This window comes from Homo sapiens, chromosome 7, assembly GCF_000001405.40.
Source record: "Homo sapiens chromosome 7, GRCh38.p14 Primary Assembly".
Taxonomy (NCBI): Eukaryota; Metazoa; Chordata; class Mammalia; order Primates; family Hominidae; genus Homo; species Homo sapiens.
In genome coordinates, this window is record NC_000007.14 from 150,921,319 (window position 1) to 150,948,208 (window position 26,890).

At 49.3% G+C, this 26,890-nt stretch overlaps 1 protein-coding gene across 10 annotated transcripts in view, besides 2 other annotated features; it reads right to left on the bottom strand.

Annotated features, from left to right (window-relative positions):
* Positions 23,643-26,890, bottom strand: part of KCNH2 (potassium voltage-gated channel subfamily H member 2) — a 33,361-nt gene continuing 30,113 nt past the window's right edge. For 7 of the 10 annotated variants that reach the window (NM_000238.4, XM_047420348.1, XM_017012196.2 and 4 more), the window contains 4 exons: positions 26,288-26,560; positions 26,010-26,196; positions 25,559-25,736; positions 23,643-24,196 (listed from right to left, as the gene is read on the bottom strand). In NM_000238.4, the coding sequence (NP_000229.1) occupies positions 24,047-24,196; positions 25,559-25,736; positions 26,010-26,196; positions 26,288-26,560 (788 nt within the window). In that variant the 3' untranslated portion in view covers positions 23,643-24,046. Of the gene's footprint in view, positions 24,197-25,558; positions 25,737-26,009; positions 26,197-26,287; positions 26,561-26,890 lie in introns of those variants that run through there. The other 3 variants (NR_176254.1, NR_176255.1, XM_047420349.1) reach the window with 2 other exon arrangements.
* Positions 23,854-24,596: an enhancer, noted in NCBI's record as "H3K27ac-H3K4me1 hESC enhancer chr7:150642260-150643002 (GRCh37/hg19 assembly coordinates)". NCBI's record gives its function as "activates a minimal SCP1, AML or CMV promoter by ChIP-STARR-seq in naive H9 embryonic stem cells {active_cell/tissue: H9 hESC(naive)}" and the evidence as "EXISTENCE:reporter gene assay evidence [ECO:0000049][PMID:30033119]".
* Positions 24,597-25,338: an enhancer, noted in NCBI's record as "H3K4me1 hESC enhancer chr7:150643003-150643744 (GRCh37/hg19 assembly coordinates)". NCBI's record gives its function as "activates a minimal SCP1, AML or CMV promoter by ChIP-STARR-seq in naive H9 embryonic stem cells {active_cell/tissue: H9 hESC(naive)}" and the evidence as "EXISTENCE:reporter gene assay evidence [ECO:0000049][PMID:30033119]".

Below are 26,890 nucleotides of genomic sequence, written 5' to 3' on the forward strand. Positions count from 1 at the left end.
TTGAAGTAAAATCACTTCCTTGGTTAGAAGTAATTTGTATGTAATACTGTCATGGTCAAGAAGACACTTATTAAGAAGCTGAGGCCGGGTGCAGTGGCTCACGCCTGTAATCCCAGCACTTTGGGAGGCCAAGGTGGGCAGATCACCTGAGGTCAGGAGTTCAAGACCAGCCTGGCCAACATGGTGAAAGTCCATCTCTACTAAAAATACAAAATTAGCCGGGCATGATGGGGCACACCTGTAGTCCCAGCTACTCAGGAGGCTGAGGCAGGAGAATTGCTTAGAACCCAGGAGGCTGAGGTTGTAGTGAGCCAAGCTCATGCCACTGCACTCCAGCCTGGGCAAGAGAGGGAGACTTCATCTCAAAAAAAAAGAAGAAGCTGAGCACTTAGTACTAGCAGGATGCAGACCAGACTTGGTGAGGGAAAATCCATAGCGTTGAGCCCAAATCTGGGCCTCTGTCTCTGCTGCCACAGGCATTTTGTACACGGGCCCATTGAGAGATCACTGGGATGGCTGGGGGAAGTGGAGGGGAGGCTGACCAGTGTCCACAGACTGGGTTGCGTTTACTGAGAGCCTCTTCTGGAGTATTCACATGGGACACAAATATCCTCACATGTTCAGGGTTCACCCACCTCCCTCTTCCTCAGGTTGTTCTATCACCAATCATCCATCTGGGTCCCTGCCAAGCCTCTGAGTCTCTGGCCAGATATTTTCCATTGCCCATGAATTACTGTTGAGCTTCACTCCAGCCCATCCATTCTTCCAGGTAAAGTGTGCATGCCCATAGACTAGATCTCAAAACTGATTTAAGTAGGAAGAGAGGCAGCAGTATGGAAGGCATCCATTTTCCACCAACAATTGTGACAACAACATTTCTGCCTGCAGATTGCAATGAACGGCGTTGTGTTTGGGGAGAAACAGGCATAGCCATGGCTTCCTGATCCTGGATTGCAGCTAGTGGGTGATTCTGGTGTCCGCTTCCTGGTTGATGGGAGAGGTAGCAGTTCCCTTGCCAGTTCCTTGCTGGTGTTCTAAGAGTGGGTCTAGAAACAGTCTTCCAATTTGGCAACATTTTTATAGGCACTTAATTCTCTGTATTAAATCCTTTTCTGATTTAAACGGCTAGAGTTAGTTCTATTGTCTGCAAGTCAAGTCTGCCTGATACCCCTGTTACAGAAAGGAATAGAAGGAAAGTAGACTAGACAGATCTCGTTACCAGAGGAAAAGGAGAATTAAAGAGAAGGCCAGTAGGAGAGAAGGACGTATGAAAAGATACGCAGAAATAGAAAGATGCATGCAGGGACAGATGCAAGTGCAAAAATGACTCAAATTGCTATTCATTAAGACCCAAGAGGATGCTCCACATAAAGGTAAAAGGCCTTGCTGGGGACAATGGCCCATGGTTGAGAGATGACCAGTTGGTAATACGAAATTGGGAGGCTGACTTGCGAGGCTGGTGGGAAGTTGGTATGACGTTAGCAGAGAATGAGTGGAAAGTTGTTGAGAATGGTGGAGGATAGTGTGCAATACACTGGATAACTGTGACCTTGGGGGAATAAACAGCTAACTCTATCTTACCTTGGGCCTCAAATATCACAACTTCAGTGTGTGTCCAGTAGAATTAAAGTTCCTGGAGAAGCTGCTCAAATCTTTTAAAAATGATACAGAAAGACAAAGAGCATAATAATCGTTCATAGGACCATGCCAACTAGCTAAGAGACTGCTCCATATTCATTGTGAAGCAGCTACTAATGTTCTGAAGACATAAAACACTGTCCAGAAATAGTGAGTTGGAATAGGATTGCTGCTGTTGTTCATTGTCATTGTCGTTGTTGTCGTTGTTGTTAAAATACACTGATGAGGTGTAGGCTTGGTGGTAGAACAAGGGTGGCATGTGTGATTATGAGAATTCTATTTATAAGTCAGAAAAGTTCCCTTGGGATATTTCTAGACTGCCAAGAATTTGGCAGGTGCCCATCAAGAACTAGGACCCTGAACCATGTACATCCAATTAATTAAATAACCAATGCATCCACCTAGACTGGTGAATGTGACTGATTTACTTTGAGCTGCCAAGTATGTGCCTGTAGGCAATGGAATAATGACCCCAGACAGAGAAAATTTATAGCTCTTGGCACCTATTCTGACTCATTTCCTTCTTAGCCTACAGGAGGGTTTCAGGCTTCTAAAAAGAAACTCATTAATAGGGATTCAGTGGTCATCTTGCTGATGCCAGAGGTTGGAAGAGCTGGGTCTAGGTCTCCTGACTCTTTTTCTGGAATATGTTTATTTCTCTTTATCTAGGAAGTCCCCCTATTATATAATTACCTAACCTAAGACCCCTGTACTGAGTTAAATCATGTCCCCCAAAATCCATGTCCACCTGGTCCCTGTGGACGTGGCTTTCTTTAGAAATAAGGCCTTTGCAGATGTCATCAAGATGCCAAGAATTGCTGGCAACCACCAGAAGCTGAGAGAGGCAAGAAGACTCCTCCCTGGACCCTTCAGAGGGAGCATAGCCTGCCAACACTTTCAACTCCTGTCTTCCAGAACTGCCAGAAAGTCTGTTTCTGCCATTTAAAACTACCAGGTTTGTGGCATTTTGTTATAGCAGCCCTAGAAAACTTAATTCAACCCTGAAATCTTTATTATGTTTATTCAGTCTGTGCCCTTTGGACACATTGCCCTAAATAGGACATTTCCAGCACATAGGATACAGTAGTTAACTAGCATTTCATTAACGTCACCAGGTATATATTACACTTAAAATTTCTTAATAATTTCAATTAATAAACAGGACCAGATATGGATATTAATGGCCCACAATTGCTTGTTTGTTTAATATCCTCAAATCAATGCTGGGCCTGGTGGCTCACACCTATAGTCCCAGCTACTCTGGAGGCTGAAGCAGGAGGATTGTCAGAGCCCAGGAGTTTGAGGCTGCAGTGAGCTACGATGGCACCACTGCACTCCAGCCTGGGCAACAGAGTGAGACCCTGTCTCTAAAAAGAAAAAGAAGAAAATATATATATATGTATATATGTCCCCAAATCACCACATAAAAGAGAACAGAACCAGAATAGCAAAACCAAAACCCTTCCTGAAAACGTTTCCTGTTGTAGATCTATGGAGAATATCTACAACAAATCTGGGTGACAAGGTGTCCCCACAAACTCACAAACCCAAATTATGAATGTGTCCGGGCAAACTGCTGATAGCTTCAAGAGCAGCGTGATGTAAACAGTTGTGTAGGAAAGAGGAAGAGCAGGAAAAACAGCTGGGCCTCTGCTGGGCCCGGGGATCATAACAGCACAGCCCGTCTGGTGCGTGTCCAGGGACTCCCTGCAGGCCTGTCGGAGCGCAGCTGCCAGCACCGGGCAAGGGGTGTGTAGGTGCCGAGTCAGAGGTGAGAACAAGGGGACCTCAGTAAGATGGAACTGTGCTGGAGTGACCTGGACCCTGGGAATTCAGCACACTGACACACCACAGCTGCCTTCTGAGTCCAAATCTTGCACTGGGGAAAAACTGCTGAGAAAAGAATGTGAATTGATTGGGTTGGGGTCAATGGGGACAAAGAGAAGACAAGGCCCAGTTTAAAGTGAGGAGGAGATCAAAGGAGAGAGAGTGCTCAGAATGTGGGGTTCGTATCTTCTAACCCCGAGTGAAAGAACAGAAATCAGACTCTAGAGTCATAAAGTCCAAAAAAAGTTATCCTAGCCCAACCTTCTTCCCTAAAAGTACAGAAAATTCATTTTACTTAAGCATGAGCAGTGGGAAATAATTTCACATAAATATCATTCTAAGTTAATTTGAGAAAAAAGCGATGAGGAGCCAAATACTATCCTGCAGACAATGAAGGCTCACCAACCAGAATGACTTGGCCAAAGCACAAACCAACACTGGCCCTTCATAGTTCAAAATGAACAAAAATACACAAAGTGATGGATGCTATGAAGACCAGCATGAGTCAGAAGTAGAAAAGATCCAAAATAAGGAAATAAAACAATAGTATGAAAAGACAGAAGAGACTCAGATGTGAAATAAAAATTATTTTAGAAATGAAGTCTAAGTTAGAAGAACTGTCGGTGCAAATAGACACAGTGGATAATGTCTTAAATGAAATAAAGGATGAAAAAAGAAAAAAGTTTTAGTTAAAAGGTATGAACAAGGCAATGAAAAGAATACAAGAGAAAGTAACAGGAGGTGGACTAAGAAGATGAAGTATTCATATAATAAAAATCCCCAAGAAGAAAACAAAAGCCACAGAACAGAATAATATGGAAAACTAAATTTAGAATTTTCCTGAAATAAAGATACTTAAAACTGCATACTGTAATGGATATGGAAGCATATTGTACAATAGGAAAGTCGTCACAGGATCACCAACAGGGACATATGCTTGTGGGACTACACACTTTGAAAAGAAAAAAATCTTTGGATGTCCAGTTTAACAGACCAAGTTACTTATGGAAGGAAGTGGAGGAAAGATTAGGTTGCATTTAGATTTTTCAATGGCCATGCTTTATGCCAGAAGACAGTGAAGTAAAATATTTTAAGTACTCAAGGAAAGACAATGTGAGCCAAGACAACCTTTAAGTGGAAAGGCTATTGACAGATCTTAGTTATGTCTGCAAATGTTGGAGAACTCAGGGAGTGTCACTCTCATGCACTTTTACTGAAGAATCCACTAAAGAACAAGCTTCAAACAACACAAATGACTGGAAAGCCGTTCATACAAGGACTGGCTGTAAGTTCAGTGCCAAGATGAAACGATAATTATAAGGGCGGTCATGTAGAAGGTGAGGGCTGTGTTCTGACACTGTAGATAGATTACAACAGTCAAAAATCCAGGAGGGAGCCCAGCATGGTGGTGGCACCTGTGTCCCCAGCTACTCGGGAGGCTGAGGCAGGAGGATCACATAAACCCAAGAATTCGAGGCCACAGTGAGTTCTGATCACACGACTGCACTCCAGCCTGGATGACAGAGAGAGACCGCATCCCTTGAGAAAAAGAAAACAGGGGAGAGAGTGGGGAAAGTAGATAAAAAGTAAAACAAGCTTGCTGGTTGCCTTATAGGTAGAAACAGAAATTCAAAGAGTATCGCTTCAGAATATATGCTGGAGCAGACAAGGGAGGGAGAAGATATTACTAACCAATTTTAATCTTGCTTGAAGTAGGGAACTAATACAAAATAACCACAACTAGGAAGCTAAAAGTGTCATATAAAGGTATTAGAATAAAGGTATTTATTAGAACAAAAATTCAAACCTTCTAAATACCAAAAGAAAGCTAAAAAAATTGATCACATTGATATATCGATATAGACATAGATATGTGCATACAATGATATGTATAATAAAACAATGTGACAACTGGGGTCAAACACATAGATCAGATCAATCAATATAATGGGGCTTAACTCAGCTGTTAGAAGAAAAAGGTATCCATATTGGCAAAAAAGGAAAAATCCAATATTATACTATATATCAGAGGCAATACTAATACAAAGAGATTGCAAAAGTTTAAAAATAAAAGCTTATCAAAATGTTCAGTATAATTGAAAGATACAACAGGCAAATAAAAATTAAAAGAAATTATGAGTCACCATCTTGATATCCAACAAGGCAGGATTCAGACCAGAGAGCATTAAATGAGACACAGAAGGAGGCTACAGAATCCCAAAGTCTGCAATCATGATGGAGATCTAACAGTAGGTGCCACTTATATGGCAGTGGCTTAGCAACAACTGTCATGAAGCAGAAAATATAAGAGATGACAGGAGAAATATACAGAAACATGTTGTTTTAAAAAAAAATAAGAATATTTAACACACCTGTCTCAATCCAAGACAAATCAACTAGATAAATAGATAAATAGATGATAGAGATAGATAGATGATAGATAGATAGATAGATAGATAGATAGATAGATAGATAGATAGATAGATAGAAGAGAGAGATGAGAGAGATAGATGGATGATTGATTGATAGATACAAAGAAAATTGATAGATGATGGATGATTGATAGATATAAGATAGATAGATAGATACATAGATACATAGATAACAGAGATAGAAAGGTGATTGATAGATGATAGGTAGATAATTGATAGATGATAGATACATAGATAGATTAGATAGATGATAGATAGATAGATAGTATGTAGAAAACAAAATCATTAAAGTAGATATTATAGGTAAATTAAGCAATGAGGGTGGATGCCGTGATGTGTCACCCAGATTGTCTTTCTGAAATAAATGTCATAATCCCTACCTATGATGGAAAGTGCCACCAGAGGATGGCCCTCTGCTGTCCGCCCTCCCATGGATTTGCCTTGGCAGGAAAAAAACTGCCTCACCAAAGGTCACACCTCCTTCCGGAGCAGCCCACACTCAGTGATGGATTAACACGGGGATAGAACAGCCAGGCCCATCATTCCTACGCAGCCTCTCTGAAGGGCCCTGCCAGCCCTAGAGGTCACTGTGGGCTCAGCTGGGCTCTCTGTTGAGGTTGAGTCACAGGCGGACTTGTCCCTCTACCCAGTCCTCCCTCTTCTCCCTCCTTCCAGTCTCTGTCTCAGAGTCTGCTCCCAGGGAATTCAACCTGTGATGGAAATATATAAATTAAAAAGACACAGATACCATTTCTCATCTATCAAATTGGGCAAAGATCCAAAAGTGTGACAGCATAGTCTGTTGGCGAGGTTAAAGAAAGAAGTATTCCCACGTTGCTGGTGGGAACTTTAGCAATATCTTACAAAATTACATATGCATTGACCTTTGACCCAGCAAATCTTGGAATTCCTCCCAAAGATATAGTAGCAAAAATATGAAAGGATGTATGCACAAGACTATGTATTGTAGCAGAATTTTGTAATAACAACAAAGGACTGGAAACAAATGGCAACCACCAGGGGACCGTTTGAGTCAGCTATATCCAAATGATGACATACTACACAGCTGTGAGGGAATGAGGCGTGTCTCTTCTTACTGATGTGGACTCCTCTCCAGATACTAAGTGGATCAAGCAAGGAAGAAAAAAGTACGTATGGACATTTCATTCATCTAAAAAACACAAGTAGGGAAACTAGAGGCATACATACATACACTTGCTTATTTTAAAAAATGTTGAAAGGACAAACACAAATACCTTAACAGTTATCTATGGGAGAGGAGGGGAGTAGACAGGCATAGAAATGAGACTTCTTTGAATATACTTTGCTTTGTAGATTCAACTTTAGAATTAAACTTAAAATGCAAGTCCTAAAAATGAAAAGGGAAATTACACAAATGAACCATAATTACGGAACATAACCATGCAAGAAGGAATTATTCCAACCGACTTAAACACAGTAATTTCACTATACGTCCCTAGTGGGATATATTAAGGACAAAAAGAACTTCAAAAATATCACAAAGAGATTTCCAGTCACCATAGTGTTAGTTGTGGTGGTTGGTATTACTGCTCTGAGACTATTGCATGTGTGTTTGTTGTGAGATAAAGCCAATGAGTAATGATGTTGGTGCCATGAAGAGTCAGGATTTTCAGTGTGGGGAAAAGGGGATAAAGATGTAAGATCCATGAGGTTAAATTAAAACTCTGCAGTTCTGAATTAGAATTAGTGACAACAGCATGAACACATTATATAATGTCTTAAAAGGAATGCTTATTTCCTAGCTATAGCCATTGAAAGGACCCAGACCATCTAGTAGTAGTAATGAGAACTCCTAGCTATAAATACATTTCCTATTAAAAAGAACCGAGACTCATCGGAGAAATGGCTGTTTCCAAGATCAGGACAGGAAAGGTACAAAATGATTTGGTCTGGAACATCTTGTAATATCATAAAACAAGGAAGCTATCAAGTTTGTATGCTAAGTACTCTTAACACACACAAGGGCCCACAAGGAAACTCTGGGAGGTTTTGGATCTTTCACCCTGATTGTGGACATGCTATCACAGGCATTTGCATATGTCCAAACTCATTAGATTATATACGTTAAATATGTGCAATCCTTTGATTGTCAATGACGGCTCAATAAAGCTGTGTTTGGGGGGAAAAAAAAACCTACCAGGGTCATGTCAAAATAACTCAGGAACCAACCTGAATATAAGTTCCCACTGGCCAAAGATGGAAACATGTGAGATCAATAAGGATAATAACTGGGAAGTGTTGAAATACATTGTTTTTTTTTTCCAGCCTATGAGTTTACAGTACCACTAGAGGAATATCATTCTTCACTTTGGGGAGATGTCAGAGAACCATATTTTGAAAGGTAGCAAATAAAGGGAATGAACTGCATGTTTATATTGCCTTTACGATATGAACTTTACCTCTGGGTAACCAAAGAGTTGCTGAGAGTTCATTTCTCACTATAAGAGAATTCCAGCTAATAAATGAAAAAGGAAGACAGAATTAGAACATCACTATTTTGCAACCTGTAATGAATTCATAGGTTTAAGCAACCGTCGTTTATAGCTGCTAAAATCACAAGAAGAGAGGCAGCCAGCTATTTCTGTGTCTCCTGTTGGAATAATACATCACTAACTAGGGAATAATCTTGCCAAAAATTGAAGCCTGAGTCTGATAAAAATTCTAGGTTTAACTACCAACTTATGAGAAATACGGGTGACAGAGAAAAATGCAGAGTGACCAACCATTCTGGTTTGCTCAGGACTTTCTTGGTTTTAGCAGTGGGTAAAACCAAGACCTGTTGGTCCCCTCTAATGTTGAGCCATATCATAAGGATACAATCAGCAAAATTCAGATTGTAGAAAACTCTAAAGAATGAACAACCTAGATTCTTCAATCAAAACAAAACACAAAGAAAAATATGGAGGAGGACCCCATAGAATAAAAGGTACTTAAGAGTCATATCTACTCGTTACAATGTATGGATCTTATTTGGTTTCTGGTTCAAATAAAGAAAACTATTTCAAAAATATATGAAGCTGGATGCAGTGGTGCACACCTGTATCCTCAGCTACTTGGGAGGATGAGGCAGGAGGATCACTTGAGCCCACAAGTTCAAGTCCAACCTGGGCAATATAGCAAGGCCCTGTCTCTATAAAATATATGTATGTGTGTATATATACATATACAGAGATATAGATATATGAAACAACTGAAGTTTGATTGCTAACGGAACATTTGATGATATCAGGGAATTACTCTACCTTAGATGTGGTAAGCTATTGTGGCTATGTATTTTTTGAGTCCTCATCTTTTAGAAAAATTGGAATATTTACAGATGAAATTATATGGTGTTTGGGCCAGGCGCGGTGGCTCATGCCTGTAATCCCAGCACTTTGGGAGGCCGAGGCAGCCGGATCACGAGGTCAGGAGATCAAGACCATCCTGGCTAACACGGTGAAACCCCGTCTCTACTAAAAATACAAAAAATTAGCCGGGCATGGTGGTGGGTGCCTGTAGTCTCAGCTACTTGGGAGCCTGAGGCGGGAGAATGGCGTGAGCCCGGGAGGCGGAGCTTGCAGTGAGCCGAGATCGCACCACTGCACTCCAGCCTGGGGAACAGAGCTGAGACTCCATCTCAGAAAAAAAAAAAAGAAAGAAATTATATGGTGTTTGGGATTTGCACCAAAATAATCTGGTGTTGGGGAGTGGAGGGTATGTGGAAACAAGATTGGATATGAATTGATCATTGTTAAAGTTATCTGATAGATACCTAAAGGATTATTAGACTGTTCTTAGTGCTTTCGTATATATTTTAAATTTTCCTCAATAAAAACACATTTTAATTCAAAAATGAAAAAATACAAGGGGTGAGGCTCACCTGGAAAGCTGAGCATTTTCCTCCATGAGCCAATTATTGGCCTTTAGCCCTGACACCCACACTCCTTTCCATACTTCCCTCTGAATTGTAAAAATTACATTTCAGACTCCCTCACCAACTGGGTTCTGGCTGAGTTTCACCAATGAGAATCAATGACAGGAGAGGAGAGGAGACGAGAAAGAAGCCACTAAGCTTCTGCCACAACTGCAGCAGGCTACTGTGGCTTTTAGCAGCGCTGGTGGCTTCATGGGGACCACAGAGCAGCTTGCGTTTGGCAGCTTTCCAGCAGCAGCAGGGAGTGTGTGCTGTGGGCTCTCTCCAAGGGGCAGTGGCAGCTTCCTGACCTATTGGCATCACCCTTTCCTCCTGTTCACTGTGGCAGCTCTTCTTCCACATGTGTAGCCCATGTTTCCAATAGTTCCTGAACTAAATCCTCTTTGAAATATCTGGAGTAATGTCTGCTTTTATGACTGCACACTGGCTGATACATCATGACACCAGATGACCAGCAGCTATAACAGGTGTAGAGCTGATAAGAAGCTTATGCAAAGAAAGACGGGTATGGGATTGCCAGGAGCTGAGGGAAGAGGGGCTAACGGCCATGAATTCAGGGCAGAACAGCCATGAATAAGCTCCGGAATTAGTCCCAAGCATCCTATGAAGGCCAGTGGCTTGTGATTAATTCACAGACCCAGAGAGAGTCCGCTTTGCCTTCCTCTGCTCAGGGGAGAGAAAAGGATGCTGGAGAAGGGAGGCAGCATGGCTGGTCCCATACACTCCTCTTCCTAGCTCTCAACTGCCTCGGGCCAGTAGGCAGCAGCTGCAGCAGTCAGCACAGTGTGGAAGCTCTTCCATCGTTAGAAACCTGGGAGCTTTTGTCCATGAGGCTCATCCACCTTGAGAGTGACACCTCACGCTTCAGTCAGCAGGGAGAAGGAGAGGTGAAGGAGAAACTCTCCTCCCTTAAAAAGCACTTCCCAAAAGTTACATATGGCACTTTCACTCCCATCCTACTGGCCCAAGCTTAATCACAGGGCAACACCAAGCTGCAAAGGGGGCTGGTGAATGGTCGTTATTCTAGGAAGCCATGGGATGAGCTCAACATTGGAGGTTCCATTACTGAAGAGGAAAAGAATAATGGATATTGGGGCAGGCAATGAGCAGCTGTGGTCACAAAGGGTTGTGATGATATATGTAACCCCTGTGTCTACCATGGGGAAGGCCCACACATACAAAATGGAGATTGGCCTGTCTGCTGCACTCCTCCCAGCAAGCCCCTTAAAAAGTCACCTTCTGGCCGGGCACCGTGGCTCACGTTTGTAATCCCAGCACCTTCAGAGGCTGAGGTGGGTGGATCGCCTGAGGTCAGCAGTTCGAGACCAGCCTAGCCAAAATGGTGAAACCCCATCTCTACTAAAAATACAAAAGTTGCCCGGGCATGATGGCGGGTGCCTGTAATCCCAGCTACTCAGCAGGGTGAGGCAGGAGAATCGCTTGAACCCGGGAGGCAGAGGTTGCAGTGAGCCAAGGTCATGCCATTGCACTCCAGCTGGGTGACAGAGCAAAACTCTGTTTCAAAAGAAAAAAAAAGTCATCTTCCATGGGAGGAGGGTGCAGCCCAAAAAACTACCTCAGGTATTACACTTATTACCTGGGTAATAAAACAACCTGTACAGCAAACCCCCACGACATGCAATTTACCCACATAACAAACCTGCACATGTACCCTTGAACCTAAAATAAAAGGTTAAAAAAATGAAAATTTAAAAATTTTTGAAATGGGGCTGGGCACGGGGGCTCACATCTGTAATCCCAGCACTTTGGGAGGCCAAGGCAAGTGGATCACTTGAGGTCAGACGTTCGGGACCAGCCTGGCCAACATGGTGAAACCCCGCCCCTACTAAAAACACAAAAATTAGCTGGGCGTGGTGGCACACACTCGTAATCCCAGCTACTCGGGAGGCTGAGGCAGGAGAATCGCTTGAACCAGGGAGGCAGAGGTTGCAATGAGTCAAGATCACACCACTGCACTCCAGCTTGGGTGACAGAGCGAGACTCCATCTCAGAAATAAATAAATAATTAAATAAAAAATTTTTAAAGTCACCTTCAGTAGTATATCTGGGGGCCAAGGGAATGTCCTAGCATCACCCATGCTGGGAGCAGACTGCAGCCATGGGGGGGTGTGGCCGGCTCCTGCCCACCTCCCTCTACCCTGCCTCCGCTCAGCGTGTAGCTCTGTCCTCCAGGAAATGTCCCCTCCTCTACTGCCCCAAGCACCACTAACAAACAGCAATGTGTGTGACAAGCGTTTACTGAGGACTAGGAGGGTAACAGAACCACTGGGGCGAAGTAACCTAACACTAAATGTCGAACATCAATTTTCCTAAATATTCATTGGCCATTTCCCACCAAAAAATAATTCCGCACGTCTTCATAGGCCATGGAAGTCTCTTCTCCCTCTCACCGCTGGGCCTCATCTCTCCCAGGATGCCCTTAAAGACTCAAAAGTGTGCCAGGTGGGGTGGCTCATGCCTGTAACCCCAGCACTTTGGGAGGCCAAGGCAGGCGGATCACTTAAGGCCAAGAGTTCAAGACCAGACTGGCCAACATGGTGAAACTCCGTCTCTACTAAAAATACAAAAATTAACTGGGCGTGGTGCTGCACACCTGTAATCCCAGCTACTGGGGAGGCTGAGGCACAAGAATCACTTGAACCCAAGAGGCAGAGGTTGCAGTGAGCCAAGATCATGCCACTGCACTCCAGCCTGGGCAACAGAGTGAGACTCTGTCTCAAAAAAAAAAAAAAGACTCAGAAACGATTCCTGGTGTACCATCTCTGACCAGCTCTCACTTACCCAGGCCCCTCTCTAAGGACCTCATCGTTAATAACCAAACAGACTACAGGGTACTTCTGAACAAAAGGAGCCATCTCTTCCTCACAGGAATAACCTGCCTTTCTCCCAGGACATTCAGTTTAAACTACAGTCAGCTTTTAAAAATATTTTTACTGTTAATATAGAAGACAGAAATGGCTGTTTCCACTTTCAGTGAGAAAACATTGAGGTAGGAGGTGAAACCAGGCCCCGCAGTGGCTTGCTGTCACGTTGTGTAGGGGAAGAAGGCAGCTGGGAAACCCCTCTTCCCAAAAAATCATAAAGAACAGGCCTGGAGCGGGGTTTCTGAGCCTCAGCACTATGGCCATCTGGGGCTGGCTGATTCTCTGTTGTGGGGGCTGTCCTGTGCCTGCAGGATGTTACTGGCCTCTACCCACTAGATGCCAGTAACAACCCATCTACCACCACCCTGAAGTGGGACAACCGAAAGTGCACAGACATTGCCACACATGCCTGGGGGGCAATATCACCTCTGGTTGAAAACCGTGGACTGGAGGAAAGACATGCCTGCCTGGACATAAGAGCAGGACAAGACAGCCTGGTTTTGTTCCTTCTGACCTGAGACTGTCCTCACCCTCCCTTGAGGTCCAGGCCTGTAACTGGGATCCACTGGCAGGCAGCCAGAGAAGTGGAGAGATGGGTAGGGTGAGGGCCTGGGAGCTCCAGCCAGATGGTGATTATCCAAATAAATATTGATTGAAACAGATTCCACTGTTTCCCTCTTCTCAAAGACATAACACCTTCTGCGGAAATGAATGGGAGCAGCTAAAGGGCTCCGCACCATCCCTCTCCAACCCTGGAGAAAGAACCCCACGCACAGGCCGCCCAGCACATCAGATACCTTCACACCCAAGAACAGGCCAGGCCAGGCATGGTGGCTCACACCTGTAATCCCAGCACTTTGGGAGGCTGAGACAGGTGGATTTCTTGAGCCCAGGAGTTCAAGACCAGCCTGGGCAACATGGTGAAACCCTACAAAATACCAAAAAAAAAAAAAAAAAATAGCCAGATATGGTGGTGCTCACCTGTAGTCCCAGCAACTCAGGAGGCTGAGTTGGGAGGATCGCTTGAGCCAAGGGAGGTTGAGGCTGCAATGAGCTGTGATCATGTCACTGCACTCCAGCCTGGCTGTCAGAGGGAGACCCTATCTCAAAAAAAAAGAAAAAAAAAAGAAAAATCTGGGTTTTACAAAGCTATGTTCCAAGGGTTGGGAGCATCACAGTTCTGCATTTGTGGAATTGAGGGGCCAGAGCTGTGTCCTAAACCTGGCCCTGACTCTATTTCTATGGCCTTGGCAAGCCACCTCCTGCCTCCGGGACTCCATCTCCTGCTCGGCATGGTAAATAGATGGAGCCCTGCACTCTCAAGAGCCTTCCAGTCTGCCGGTCTCAGCTCCCCAGCACCTGATCCTGTGCCCCTCCCAGCCTCCAGTGATCTATCGCTTGATAAGTTTTCTCAAAAGCCCACTTTCCAACCCTGATATTTTCAAGTAGCCAGTCAGCTTTCACTGAGCTCTGTGACAATGACAAAAATGGACAGAATTAAAACCCCAGGTTTCTATTTCCAATCCTCAGGGGCGGGGATGTTCACAAAGACACCTTCAGGCAGTGCCACTCTGCTGCTGGTCCTTCGTGCACACCTCTGGAGAGAGACTTCCTCAAACAGACCCTCACTTCATCTCCACCGCAATCTCAGCCCTGGCTGCAAAGAATTTATAGTCGTGTTAGGTAGACAAGACTAACACCACATTTCTAGTTTATTTCACCAAAGGTGAAATATTCCACCTTCTCCACAACAGCAACCAGGAAAATTTATCCCCAAAATAACATGTTTTATATCAGGTCTGTTTCATAATTTTAACCCTTAACCTGTGTTTTTAAATTTCACTTTAAAATACAAAAAGATGTGGCCGGGCATGGTGGCCCACACCTGTAATCCCAGCACTTTGGGAGTCAGAGCCAGGAGGATTGCTTGAGGTCAGGAGTTCAAGAGCAGCCTGGCCAACATGATGAAATGCCATTTCTACTAAAAATACAAAAATTAGCCAGGCATGGTGGTTCACGCCTGTAATCCCAGCTACTCGGGAGGGCTGAGGCAGAGAATCGCTTCAGCTGACATCGCCCCACTGCACTCCAGCCTGGGCAACAGTGTGAGACTCCATCTCAAAAAATAAAATAAAATACAAAAAGAGCAAATCCATCATTTACATCTGGGCCACAGTGTCCCTCCGTCTCCCTCTGGCCCCGGAGCACATGGCCATCTGGTTGTGCTGACTGTGCTGGGTACGCTGACTGGTCTATCCGCAGTCCATCCTGGCCCCTCACACACCTCCAGGTGCTAGTGTCAAGACACCTGTTATTCCCTCCATGTCATTCCCAGGAGCTCTCATGGCCGCATCTCCAAGAGCCAAGTCCCTGCCCCATCCTCCAGAGCCAGTTTCTAAGGACCCCACCTCCATTCACAACGGCACCATTGCTATTATGCAGCAATTAATGACTTAAGTTGAATTTTCATCAGCCTGGCCCTGTCTGAGAACTTAGCAGGCAACTGGGACCCTGCCAGTCTCTATGTGGGTCAAATGTGTCCCTTAATGATTTCTGAAAATGAAAACAACTCGATAACGTGTTTAGGATATGAGACTACTGAAGCCCCATTGGTAAGTTCCTTAGACCACAGAGAACACAGTATCAAAGTCAGGCTGTGAGCAAAGAGTGGACATCCCTCCAGTCCAGATAACCCTGCCCCTGCGGGCTTTGCAGTAAGAACTGAAAGTTCAGTCCTTCGGGTTTTTAAAAATATTTTTTCTGCTAATATAGAAGACAGAAATGGCTGTTTCCACTTTCAGTGAGAAAACATTATCCAGGTGTGGTGGCACACGCCTGTGGTCTCAGCTGCTCGGGAAGCTGGGGCGGGAGGATCACTTGAGCTCAGGAGGTTGAGACTGCAGTGAGCCATAGTTGCACCACTGCACTCCAGCCTGGGTAACAGAGGGAGACCTTGTCTCTTAAAAAAATAATAATTAATTAAAAAAAACTGTTACAGGACCAGGCACAGTGGCTCACGCCTGTAGTCCCAGCACTTTGGGAGGCCAACGCGGGTGGATCACCCAAGGTCAGGAATTCGTGACTAGCCTGGCCAATATGGTGAAACCCCACCTCTCTATAAAAATACAAAATTATCTGGGCATAGTACCGCATGCCTGTAATCCCAGCTACTCAGGAAGCTGAGGCAGGAGAATCGCTTGAACCCGGGAGGCAGAGGTTGCAGTGAGATCGTGCCATTGCACTCCAGCCTGGGCGAAAAAAGCAAAACTCAACTCCATCTCAAAAAAAAAAAAAAGTTACAGGACGGTGTGGCTTTGTGTGTCATGCAATGCCACAGAGGATAGCTGTAGACTGACAAGGGTTCATGGAGAGGCTTTATGGAGAGGGCTGCCAGGAGCCAGGTCCTGGAGAATGAGGAGGACTTGAATAGGAATAAAAGAAGCTCTGTTAGGCACTTCATAAAAGTGGGGCCATGGTCATTTTCTTTTATTTCTCTTATATGGTCCCAGCTAAATTATGAGCTACTGAAGGGTGCGGTTGCATCCCATCCAGCCTGCAGCAGGACGGGAAGTGAGGGGCCGTGCTGCTCTGGAAACTCCTGCCTTGAGCAACTTTAAGCCTCATTCCCCTCCACTGAAAAACGACGGGGTAGACTGTGCTCTCTCATGACTTTTGGCGACTTTCTGTGATTCTAGGTGGGGCTCAAGGAAAACATTTTAAGTGAAAGCTCTCCTGCCCTGGGTTGGGGTATAAAGTCTCCACGGGGGATCCCGGGCATGGTAAGCACCCACAAGGCCCAGTCTGCTCTGCTAGAGTGAGGCCACCTGGACAGGAGCCTCACCAGCACCGGATCCAGCTGCGGGGCTAACCCAAGACCCAGGACCAAGGAGACGCCACCCACAGGGGATGCTGAGGAGAGAGGCGTGTCTGTCCTGCTGCGTCAGTTACGTCCACCCTGCCAAGCACTTCAGCCAAAGGAGCTGCCTCTTTGCTAAAGTCACTTTCAGCTTTTCTGCACTTTTTCCATTTCTGAACCACAAATTTGGCAGTTACCCAGAACATTCAACGTTTACCAGTTGGTGAAAAGTTAGCAGGAAACTTCGAGGAGTTTGTCCTCAGCAAGCAACGCTGTGCCCCAACACCTCCTCAGTCATGTCTGGTGTGACTTGAGTCTCTAATAAGCAATGGCACTTGCCGTCCCCTCCAAACACTGATCCTTCACCTGATGCCTGAGGTTGCAAGAGGATAGGCTGGGCTAAAGCTGCAGCAGCTGCCTCGGCAAGTAGGAAGCTAATTGGCTCAGGAAGGGATATTCCTAAGACCTGGGCTTTGCAAGCCGTGAGCTGAACAGCTCAGCCTACGATCACGCACCACTTCCTGTGCGCCTCAGGACTGCCTTTAAGGCATGACAGGAGCCACTGAGCCAAGCCCAGCCCAACCCTCAGACCTGCACCAGGCTCTGCTCTCCCAGGAGATCCTGTGCCTCCCATTCAGCACAGTTCCTTTGCAGCTTCCTCATCCTCGCCAGCTCCGCATCTCTGCAACGTGCTGCCTCATTATGATGGCTAATTATTATTATGGGAAAACTGCTTGCTGACCAAGACAGAAGCCATACTGCAGCCTCTCCTCCCTTCCAGGGCCATGTTTTAATTCCTCCCTGGGGTTCATCAGATGCATCTGGATAGCATCCCAGTGGCTGTGGGAGGACAAGGAAAAAGGTCACCAGTGAGGTGGCACTGACAGGGTGGCCAAGAACTTAGGGCTTGAAGGTCTGGGATCATCTTTTAAGTTGTTTTCTGGCCTGTATCATGAGGTAACTTCCCCAGTGCTCACAAAGGCCCCTCACATTTTTTTCTTTTTGGAGACAGGGTATTTTGCTCTGTTGCCCAGGCTGGAGTGCAGTGGGGCGATCATGACTCACTGCAGCCTCAACTTCCTGGGCTCAAGGAATCCTCCTGCCTCAGTCTCCCAAGTAGCTGGGACTACAGGCACATGCCACAATGCCCAGCTGATTTTTTTAATTATTTTTTTAAGAGCCTGTTGCCCAGGCTAGTCTTGAACCCCTGAGCTAAAGCAATCCTCCCAGGCACAGGAACCAGCTGCATGCTTAGGAGCCAGTGCCTGCTGACTCCAATGTCTCAGGTGCCTTGACTCAGAACATAAGCCTCGCCCCTGCCCCTCAGGCATCCCCAGAGACATGGGGTGGCACTAGGCACATGGGCTCAACCCATTTCTCAGTATCTGAAAGAAAAAGCTCCCCCAGGGCCAGAGGATGGAGGACAGCTGAGTCCCTTCACTCATTCCCATGTCGCCTAATCCTCATTCCTCCATGCTCCTTTCTCCAGCCTGAGAATAACACTTCCCTAAGGTCACTTAGAGCCCCACAGAAAGCCAAACTTCTCAGCGGAAGAGTCATCATCCCAGGGCACCCAGGGTAACTTGACATTAAATACAGCCTCTCTGCTAAGACTTCCATTCCACCTGGGCTGCTTAAGTCCAGGAGACCACCCTGATTTGACCTTCCTAGTGTCCCTCATCAGCAAGTTCCATCTGATTATCTGGCTGCCATCACCTGGTAGAGCAGAAAGGGGAAGCAGAGCTGTCACATATGGTTGTGTTGCTATGAGAGCCCTCTCCAGACTGTTTCCCTAATGACTGATTTTCTTGCCAGTTAGCATCTAAGTCTTTTGCAGCCAGACCTTATGCTATTGCTAATTTTAAAATAATGGTAAGAGGATCATGCTAAATTCTTCTGCTCTGGTTTCTTAGCAATGTCTCTTGCAGACTTCCAACTCACTTATAAGGTGTGATTATTAATATAAAATAATGAAGCTGATTATTTAAACAAGTGCCTCAGAATGCATTCTCTTTTTCTTTTTTTGGAAGACAAAAGTTAACAACAACAACAACAAAAAACCTAGAATTGTACTTGGATGTTTAGTAATTCAAAATGATTAAGAAGCACCCTCTTTAAAATGCTACTGTAATAAAAAGATCAAGATAAATTGAGTTTTGGGGGTGGGAGGGTTGGGTTTTTTTGAGACAGGGTCTGGCTCTGTTGCCCAGTCTAGAGTGCAGTGGTGCGATCTCAGCTCACTGAAACCTCCGCCTCCCAGGCTCAAGCTGTCCTCCCACTTTAGCCTCCCAAGTAGCTGGGACTACAGGTGCGTGCTATCATGCTGGCTAATTTTTGTATTTTTTTGTAGAGACAGGGTTTTGCCATATTGCCCAGGTTGGTCTCCAACTCCTAATCTCAAGCAATCCACCTGCCTCGGGCCCCCAAAAGTGCTGGGATTAGAGGCGTGAGCCACCGCATCCAGCCTTAAATTGAGTTTTTATCGCTTAATACCAGGCATATATGCAGCTTTAAGAAAATAGTTACTATTTAATCTTTTACTAAATCAATTTTCACACTAACCACTCTTTAATGATATACAATTATCTAAAAATGCCTCAAAACAGTCACTTTGGAAGGCCCTGCGTTTTCCGTTTATTTCAACATCGTTGAGCACTTGAGAGACACTAACACACCACATGTGTCCTCTTATGGTCCTTGTGTTGTCAAGCTGCCAGGACTCCTACAAAGAAATACCTCTTCCTACAGCAGTGTAAGCTCTCACTGAAAAGCAAGTTCAATCAGGTTTCAGTTTCCGGAAGACTGTCCACCACCAGGGGAAAAGGTAGATCCCACAGACCCGAATCTGGAACTGCAAAGCCCCCGGTGTAACCTCCCTCAGCCTTGACCATCGAAGGACAAATGAACAACCACCCAGAGGACGGTGAGCTGGAGCCCTCCACTCAGAGGCCACCTGGAAACTGGAAACTGGGAGCAAACCCCCCTGCAAAAAAGTATCCCCAGTTCCACCTCAGAGGCATTCCAGAGCATGGGAACAGGGTGGGGCCCACAAGCCCGCAGACTGGGGCAGCCATGGACAGGCCCCAACATTCAATCTACAAAATGAATGGACTTGAGGCTCTCGGTCCAAGTCTCTGGTTTATCCTCCCCACTGCTCCCGTTATTCTCTTTCAAATATTTAATATTTACCTTGGTTGTGCTAAAGTAAAAAGAAAAAAAAAGATAAGCATGTGTAGCCACATTGCCAGTGAAGGAGTGGGGCTTGTGCTCCCTGGGGAGGCAGGCGGGGAGGCAGGCGGGGAGGCAGCCATAATCCAGAGGCCAAGCCTTTGGGAAGAAAGTGACCTCCAGGGACAGACGCAAATTTTAGCCCAGCCAACTCTGTCAGGAAGACATCTCCCTTTTCTGTGCAAAATCCTCAAACATGGGGTCTTGTGGGCTGCCTAGTGGCCACATCAGGTCCTGGGCACTGTGCTAGATGCTGGGTGGGAATAGGCGAAAAGATGACCAGCATTCAGCCCTTCCCCTTTACGGAGGACAGACGAGCAAGCAGGCAGGGTGTGGGGAGCCCCTAACACAGGTGCCAGCGAGTGCCACAACCGGCTGAGAAACCTGCAGAAGGCCTCAGGAGCGGCGACGTCCATGCTAGGGCTGGGAAGACAGAAGGGTCTTTCCACACCAAGGATGAGGGAGTCTGCGTCACAAGAAGAGAGCAAGACAGGGCAGATGCAAGAACATGGTGAACAGGACGGAAGCTCGCGTGGCTGCAGCATGACCCACATGGCAGGGAGGGGAGAGGGCAGGTGAGTCTGGAAAGAAAGATGAGAACCTCTGTGCAAAACTGGCACAGAGGGCCTTGCCCTGCAGGCAAGGGGGAGAAGTCCACCTGTCCCTTCAGGACCAGCAGGCATGTGACTCAGACCACCTGGGCTCACCTTCCAGCTCCACTCTCAGGAGTGGGGTATGCTCGGGCAAGTCACTCAGCCTCTGGGGCTTTGGTTTCAGGTGGCTGGAATAATGCTTGCCGCAAAGGGCGTGCTCAGGAACTATCCATTGCTGTTATTTGTCAGTGAAATGTGAGAGCTGCCACCACCCGGCTGAGTGGGGATGAGATCTTAGGTAAGGACAGGTGCTGGAGACCAGCTTGCACGTGGATAGGCAGGCTGGGCATCCCTCCACGCCTGGGGATGGAGGTGGAGGCGAGACAGGCCACGCTGCCCTCCTGCTTCTGTTCCTGCTCCCAGCCCCTGACCAGACTCCAGCTTGGGGCCCTGCGCCAGGCTTCTGCCACGTGTTGACAACCACATGGATCCCTTCCTCTCTTGCCACAGCTCCCTCCAGCTCCCGTCCCACCCTCTGGCTCTCTTGGTTGGGGAAAACCCTCAGCTCTGGATGACAGGCCCTTAACAGCCAGGTGCCCAGCCCTGCGGGAGGGGAGGGACTGCACCACCACGGCTTGCCCTTGTCCTCACCACCAAACTTCCTGTCGCTCTGGGAGCCCAGATGAGGGGAGGAGCCAAGGAGCAGGCCTGCCTGTGGCTGGGCAGTGCAGGCGGGAGGATGGGTGGGGAGAACCTGAAGTCTGACGCACCTGCCACCAACTAGGGATGTGACCTCCAGCCAGTCACTGGACCAGCCAGAAACTGACTGTCCTCATGTGGATGCTAACATGCCCTCCGCTGGGGTAGGGATTCAGGACACAAGGGCAGAGCACCCAGCTGCATACCGGACCCAGGGACCACCTGGCAAACGCAGCCACTGTGACTGCCCCTCACCCACTCTCCAGCCTTGGCAGGGGAGTCCTGGAAGGGACTTGGCAAGGGGCATCTGGGCAGCCTGACCCATCCAGACTGAACTGACTCCGGGACACCTGTGTATTTCTATCGAGGACCAGCATGGACAGGTTGCCTTCTGCTGGGCCCAGACCCCATCCTGAGCACAGACACATGCACACTCACTCACACACATGCATCCACTCCTCAGGAGCACCAAAATCCACGCCAGACCTCCACCGCCCAGGCAGGGCCCTCACCTAGGGGAAGATAGCTAACCGTGGTGCTGGCATGGTGCCACAAAGAAATAACCGGTGGCACCTCTGCTACAAAGCCAGGAGGGGGGCAAAGGCCCTTTCTTCCTCTCCTCTCTGTGTCCACCAACACCCAGCCCGGCTGCTGGACACGGAGTGGTGGGCATCAGGCAGACTCCCAAGATGAAGGCACTCTAAGGACAAGGGCAGACCATGACAAGGATGAAACAGCACCAGGGAGCGGGGAGTTGGCTCAGCTCACAGCCCAGCATGCGAAGAGCATTGAGTTTCGTGTGTACCTTCACTGCTCCCCATAAGCCACTGCCTGGGTCTGTCTCCTGCCCTGGGCTCCAGAGTCCATAAGCAGAGCCATGCCCCACTGACACCAAATCTAGGCCACCCCAGCTAGGCCCCCACCTGCAGTGACAGTCACATCAACCAACCAGGAAGGCCTGTGTTAAACTTTTAAACCATGAGCAGAAGCAAGCTCACACTCACATGTGCATGTGTGTACATGTGTGGGACAGATCCTGATGCACAAACCTGTCTTTTCTGCCTGGCATCCCTCTCTGTCACCCCTCTCCCCCTCTGACCTGTGGATCTCTTCCTTCTCCCTGTCTCTCCCAGGCCCTGGAAAGGGGGAGATCCCTTCCTTCTCTCCTCCCTGCTCTGGGCACAGGGAACCTTCCAGGCTGCTCAGAGACCAACACCCGCCCCACCCAGGCATGGGCAGTGAGAACGGCACAGTTGTCTTTAAAACAGTCAACAGCCAGGCGCGGTGGCTCACACCTGTAATCCCAGTACTTTGGGAGGCTGAGGCGGGCGGATCATGAGGTCAGGAGATCAAGACCATCCTGGCTAACACAGTGAAACCCTGTCTCTACTAAAAATACAAAAAATTAGCTGAGCGTGGCGGTGGGTGCCTGTAGTCCCAGCTACTCGGGAGGCTGAGGCAGGAGAATGGCCTGAACCCAGGAGGCGGAGCTTGCAAGGAGTTGAGATTGTGCCACTGCACTCTAGCCTGGGTGACAGAGCGGGACTCCATCTCAAAAAAAAATTAATAAAATAAAACAGTCAACAAACCCACCTCCGAGGGTCAGAGGTTTCAAAGACTCAGTGAGAAGCTGCTCTGTCTCTGGAGGCCTTTGGCAGCTCCCTGCCTGCAAACCCACCCAGCTGGGCACAGCCTGCCCGCCACCCATTGGCTCTCCACACCAGCCTCAGTCATTGCACCACATTCCTCTGGGGGCTGCATGTCCTTACAAGCCCAGCAGCACATGCACACACATGTACACACACACAGGCACACGCAGGCACTTGCACACACACCCTTCACTGTCCCCAAGACATCTGCCTTGCCTTGCTCCCCGGTCATGGGAATGAGTCACCCTGAAGGTTGCACCCTCTTCAGGAAGCTCCTCTTGAGATCCAGGATCACAGGGGACCAAGGTGATACAAGTGAGGTCCATCTGCAGCCAGACACCAGGTGAGCTCTGGTCAGGGCTGGAGTCACCAGTGTGTCCGGGGCCCAATTGTATTGGATAAGATAAGGCTAAGTTGTGGGTGGCAGGGGGAGCCAGGACTCAGACCAATTTCAGGTTAGGGTCAACGCAGGCTCAGGAACTGGGTGAGGGAGACAAGTGCAGGGCTGCTTCCACAGTCAGTGTGAAGCCAAGCTGTGGGAGCCAGGGTGCCCCACCCAGCAGAGGCACATGGCCCTCAGGGGCTAGACACCAGGTCAGTGTCCCATCAGGACTGCCTCTAAATGCATGTGGTTCAGGGGGTTTTTTGTTATCTTGAATCCAGGGCCCTACAGAGACAAGATTCTGTCTCCCTGGAGATGACCTGTGTCAGCCCCCAGGGAGCACCCCCACTGCACACACCCAGACCTGGATACAGGGGCAGCCCTGTGGGCCTGGGCATGCAGACAGACCCGGATTCCTGTGCAGGCACACCTATGCATGTCCAGACAGGAACACAGGACACAGCAAGTAACAGTTACACCCTCCCAGCACCACTGGAGTCTCCTCAGGATAATTATTTATTATTCATAGTCATCAGCATCTTCATTAATTATTCATATGATCCTTAATTATTATCCTTAACAATAAGAGCAGTAAATAGCAGAAAAGTCCTTGAGGTGCCTAAGGCCCAGGGCCGGGTGCCTCCGGGCAGTTAGACCAGCTAATGCCCTCAGGGCAGTGGGGGGACCACAGGCCCCACCTACTGCCGGCCCTGCCCCTGCCCCTCTCACTGGGGCCCAGGGGACTGCAGGAGAAGATGGTCCCAAGGGCTGGGGGAGGAGCTGTGCTTTCGAGTTCCTCTCCCCTTCCACGGTCAGGGCCTCCTGAGCAGGGCCTCCAAGGGGAGCGGCCCAGCAGCGCCTTGATCCCTGGGTGAGCCACGTGTCCACACTGGGCAGCCCCACTAACTGCCCGGGTCCGAGCCGTGTCTGTGCAGGGGCTGGGAGGTGAGGGCCCCCAGCTGGCCCGGTAGGGAGAGGCGTCGTGTGGGGCCTTCTTGGGGAAGCTCTGGGGCCCCCGGGGGCAGCTCCTCACACGCCATGAACTGGGAAACCTGCAATACACACAGAGCATGGGCAGGCGAAGAGGCCATGGAGGAGGAGGAAGGGGAGGGAAAGGGGCAGGAGAACCCGGGGACAGAGGATGGACGGGAGGACAGGAGGGCCAAGAGGAGAGTCAGGTGGGCAGAGAAGCTGGAGGGGACAAGAGCCAAGGCAGCGAGAGCAGGACAGGGGCCACCAAGGGGAGGCACCAAGGTGGGAAGTAGAGAAAGGCATTCTCTGAGAGCAGGAGCCAAACAAGAGAGCTGGGAGCAGGGAAAACCCTAGGCCCCTGTCTCTTCCCGAGGGAATGTGGCCGCTGAGCCCAACCCAACCTGGAACAAGCAGTCTCTGTGTTGGGACAGAAGCTGGGACAGAAAAAGAGACAAGATTCCTTCCCGCAATCCAGAAAGAACTCGGGGACCTAGAAACAGAGGCAGGCTGGCGGCCAGGCATCTGAAGGCCAGGGAGAGGGCCGGGGCAGGCGGGAGGGGTTTGTGGGTACTGAGCGTCTGCTGGTGAGAGCTCTGCGGGGGCGGCTGCGAAGGGAGACTGGCACATTTGCTGACGTGGGCCCTCGTGTCTGCAAACAGGAGCAGGCAGCATATGGGAGGGGGGAGCGGATGCCAAGGGAAGTGGGGAGGGAGCAGATCCCAGGCCGCCTCTGGCAGCCAGAGGAGTCCCCACCATGGACGCGGAGGTTGACACAGACACCGCCATCCTGCAGAGGCCAGGAACATGCAGGTCCACCCAGGAGAGGACAAGGGGCAACTAAGGCCCATCTCTAGCAGAGGGGGCAAAGCAGGCCCAGGAAGTCCTCCCCTGGAGGCTTGGCCTCTGCACCCTGGGAAATGCCAAGCACCCTCAAGATGACCCTGTGACAGCCACTGCCAAGGGCAAGGATGGGCAGGACGGTGAGACCAGGGAGTGTCACTCACAGAAGGGACCCGGGACCCTGTCCCTAGATACTCTGGTATGCAGCCTCCACCGCCACGTCTCGGGCTCAGTCAGTTCTTGGAGACCACCCGTGGCCGTGAGACAGGCACCACCGTTGGAGCTGGCTCTTCAGGCGATGCTCCGGGGCCTGGCGGTGGAGGCTGTGGACACTAGGGGAGTGAAGCTGCGGGCCACTTAGCCTACAGGTTCCCTGCACCCAGCTGTCTAGGGGCTTTGGACGGGGGACTCTCCTGCCCTACCCTGAGCCTGCAGCTCCTGAAGCAGCCTTCCTCCAGGAGGACAGGGGTGGGAGGAGGGCAGGAACAAGGTTCAGGGAGGCTGGGCCACAGAGCCCAGCAGAAAGGCAGCAAAGCAGGTTTGGGCTGGAATCGGGGAACAAGCGGGTCACGGTACATCGAGGAAGCAGGGCTGGAGCTTACCTGAGAAAGCGAGTCCAAGGTGAGGGTGGGGAGGGGGCTGACGGGCAACAGCGGGGATGTGGAAGTGGGGCCAGGCCCCGGGGTGGTCACAGCACTGTAGGCGGGCGGGACCAGCGTCATCTGCCTCTGTAGCAGCTGCAGGACAGTGGCCATGTCTGCACTCAGCCGGGTCTCCAGCCTGGGGCAGGAAGTGGGGGATGCTCAGAGAAGTGGGGACACCAGTGACAGCCTCCACCGGGAGTGGGGAAGGGGAAGGGGAGGGGGGAGGGGCAGCCTGTCAACCCAGGCCCTCCGCGCTAGAGGTGTGGCAGCCCCCAGCTGGGCTAGGAATGGAAGAAGGGGATCCAGCTGCTGCACACACAGACAGGCCCTCTCCCTCTACCAGACAACACCGCCAGGACCTGGACCAGACTCCAGGGCGTGCCCCCCCACCCCACCTGCACTCCCTCACCTGTTGAGCTGGCGCTGGAGGGCATCCAGCCTGCTCTCCACGTCGCCCCGGGGCCGCCGACCCGGGCTGGAGAGGGGGATGTTGAGGAGGCTGGGGGTGGGGGCGGGGCATCGAGGGAGCTCCTGGTACTGGCGGCCCCGACTGTCCCCCCAGAAGCTGAAAATGTTGGACACTCCTGAGAAGGCGCCTGCAGCCAGAGAGCAGAGCTGGGTGAGCGGGGTAGACGCACCACCGCTGCCACGCCCGGTCCTCCCTCGCCCGCCCGTCGCCCGGGATACCTGACAGGGGGTTGCAAGTGTCGCTGCTCTTCTCGCAGTCCTCCATCAGGGGCTCCCCACCCGGCGGCTCTCCGGGGGGCCTGGGGCTGGAGAAGGGCACCAGGCGGAGGGGGCTGGAGCTGCGGCCTGGGCCCTCATCCTCACTGCTCTCAGGGCTGGAGGGGCCACTGGACGGGCTCTCCCCCCACGGCCCCCCCGGCCGGCCCCGGCTACTCGGCCCTGCCCCCGCCCGGCCCGGCCCCAAGGCCGACACCTCCCCTGGCTGCTCCGTGTCTGTGGGAAACAGAGAATGGGCCTCAGAGAGGGGAGGAGAACAGAGAGGAGGGGGCGAGGGTGGAGGAGGGGACAGGAGCGAGCCCGAGAGAGGACTGGGCAGGAAGCCCTGGTTTGTCCCCAGTCGCTTCTTCTGCTATCTTGCACCCACTGTCAAGCCGACCAAGAACTCCCAGGACCCCCTGACTGCCCAAGCACTGGCAATGGTGCTTCAGGGGTTGGCGGATCTCTGGGACTGCGGGGCCTCAGCCCCATCGTTGGCTCCCTGGCCCTCCTTTGTTCTATGTTCTTTCCTCCTCAGTGCTCACAGAGACCCCAGCCCTGTGAAGT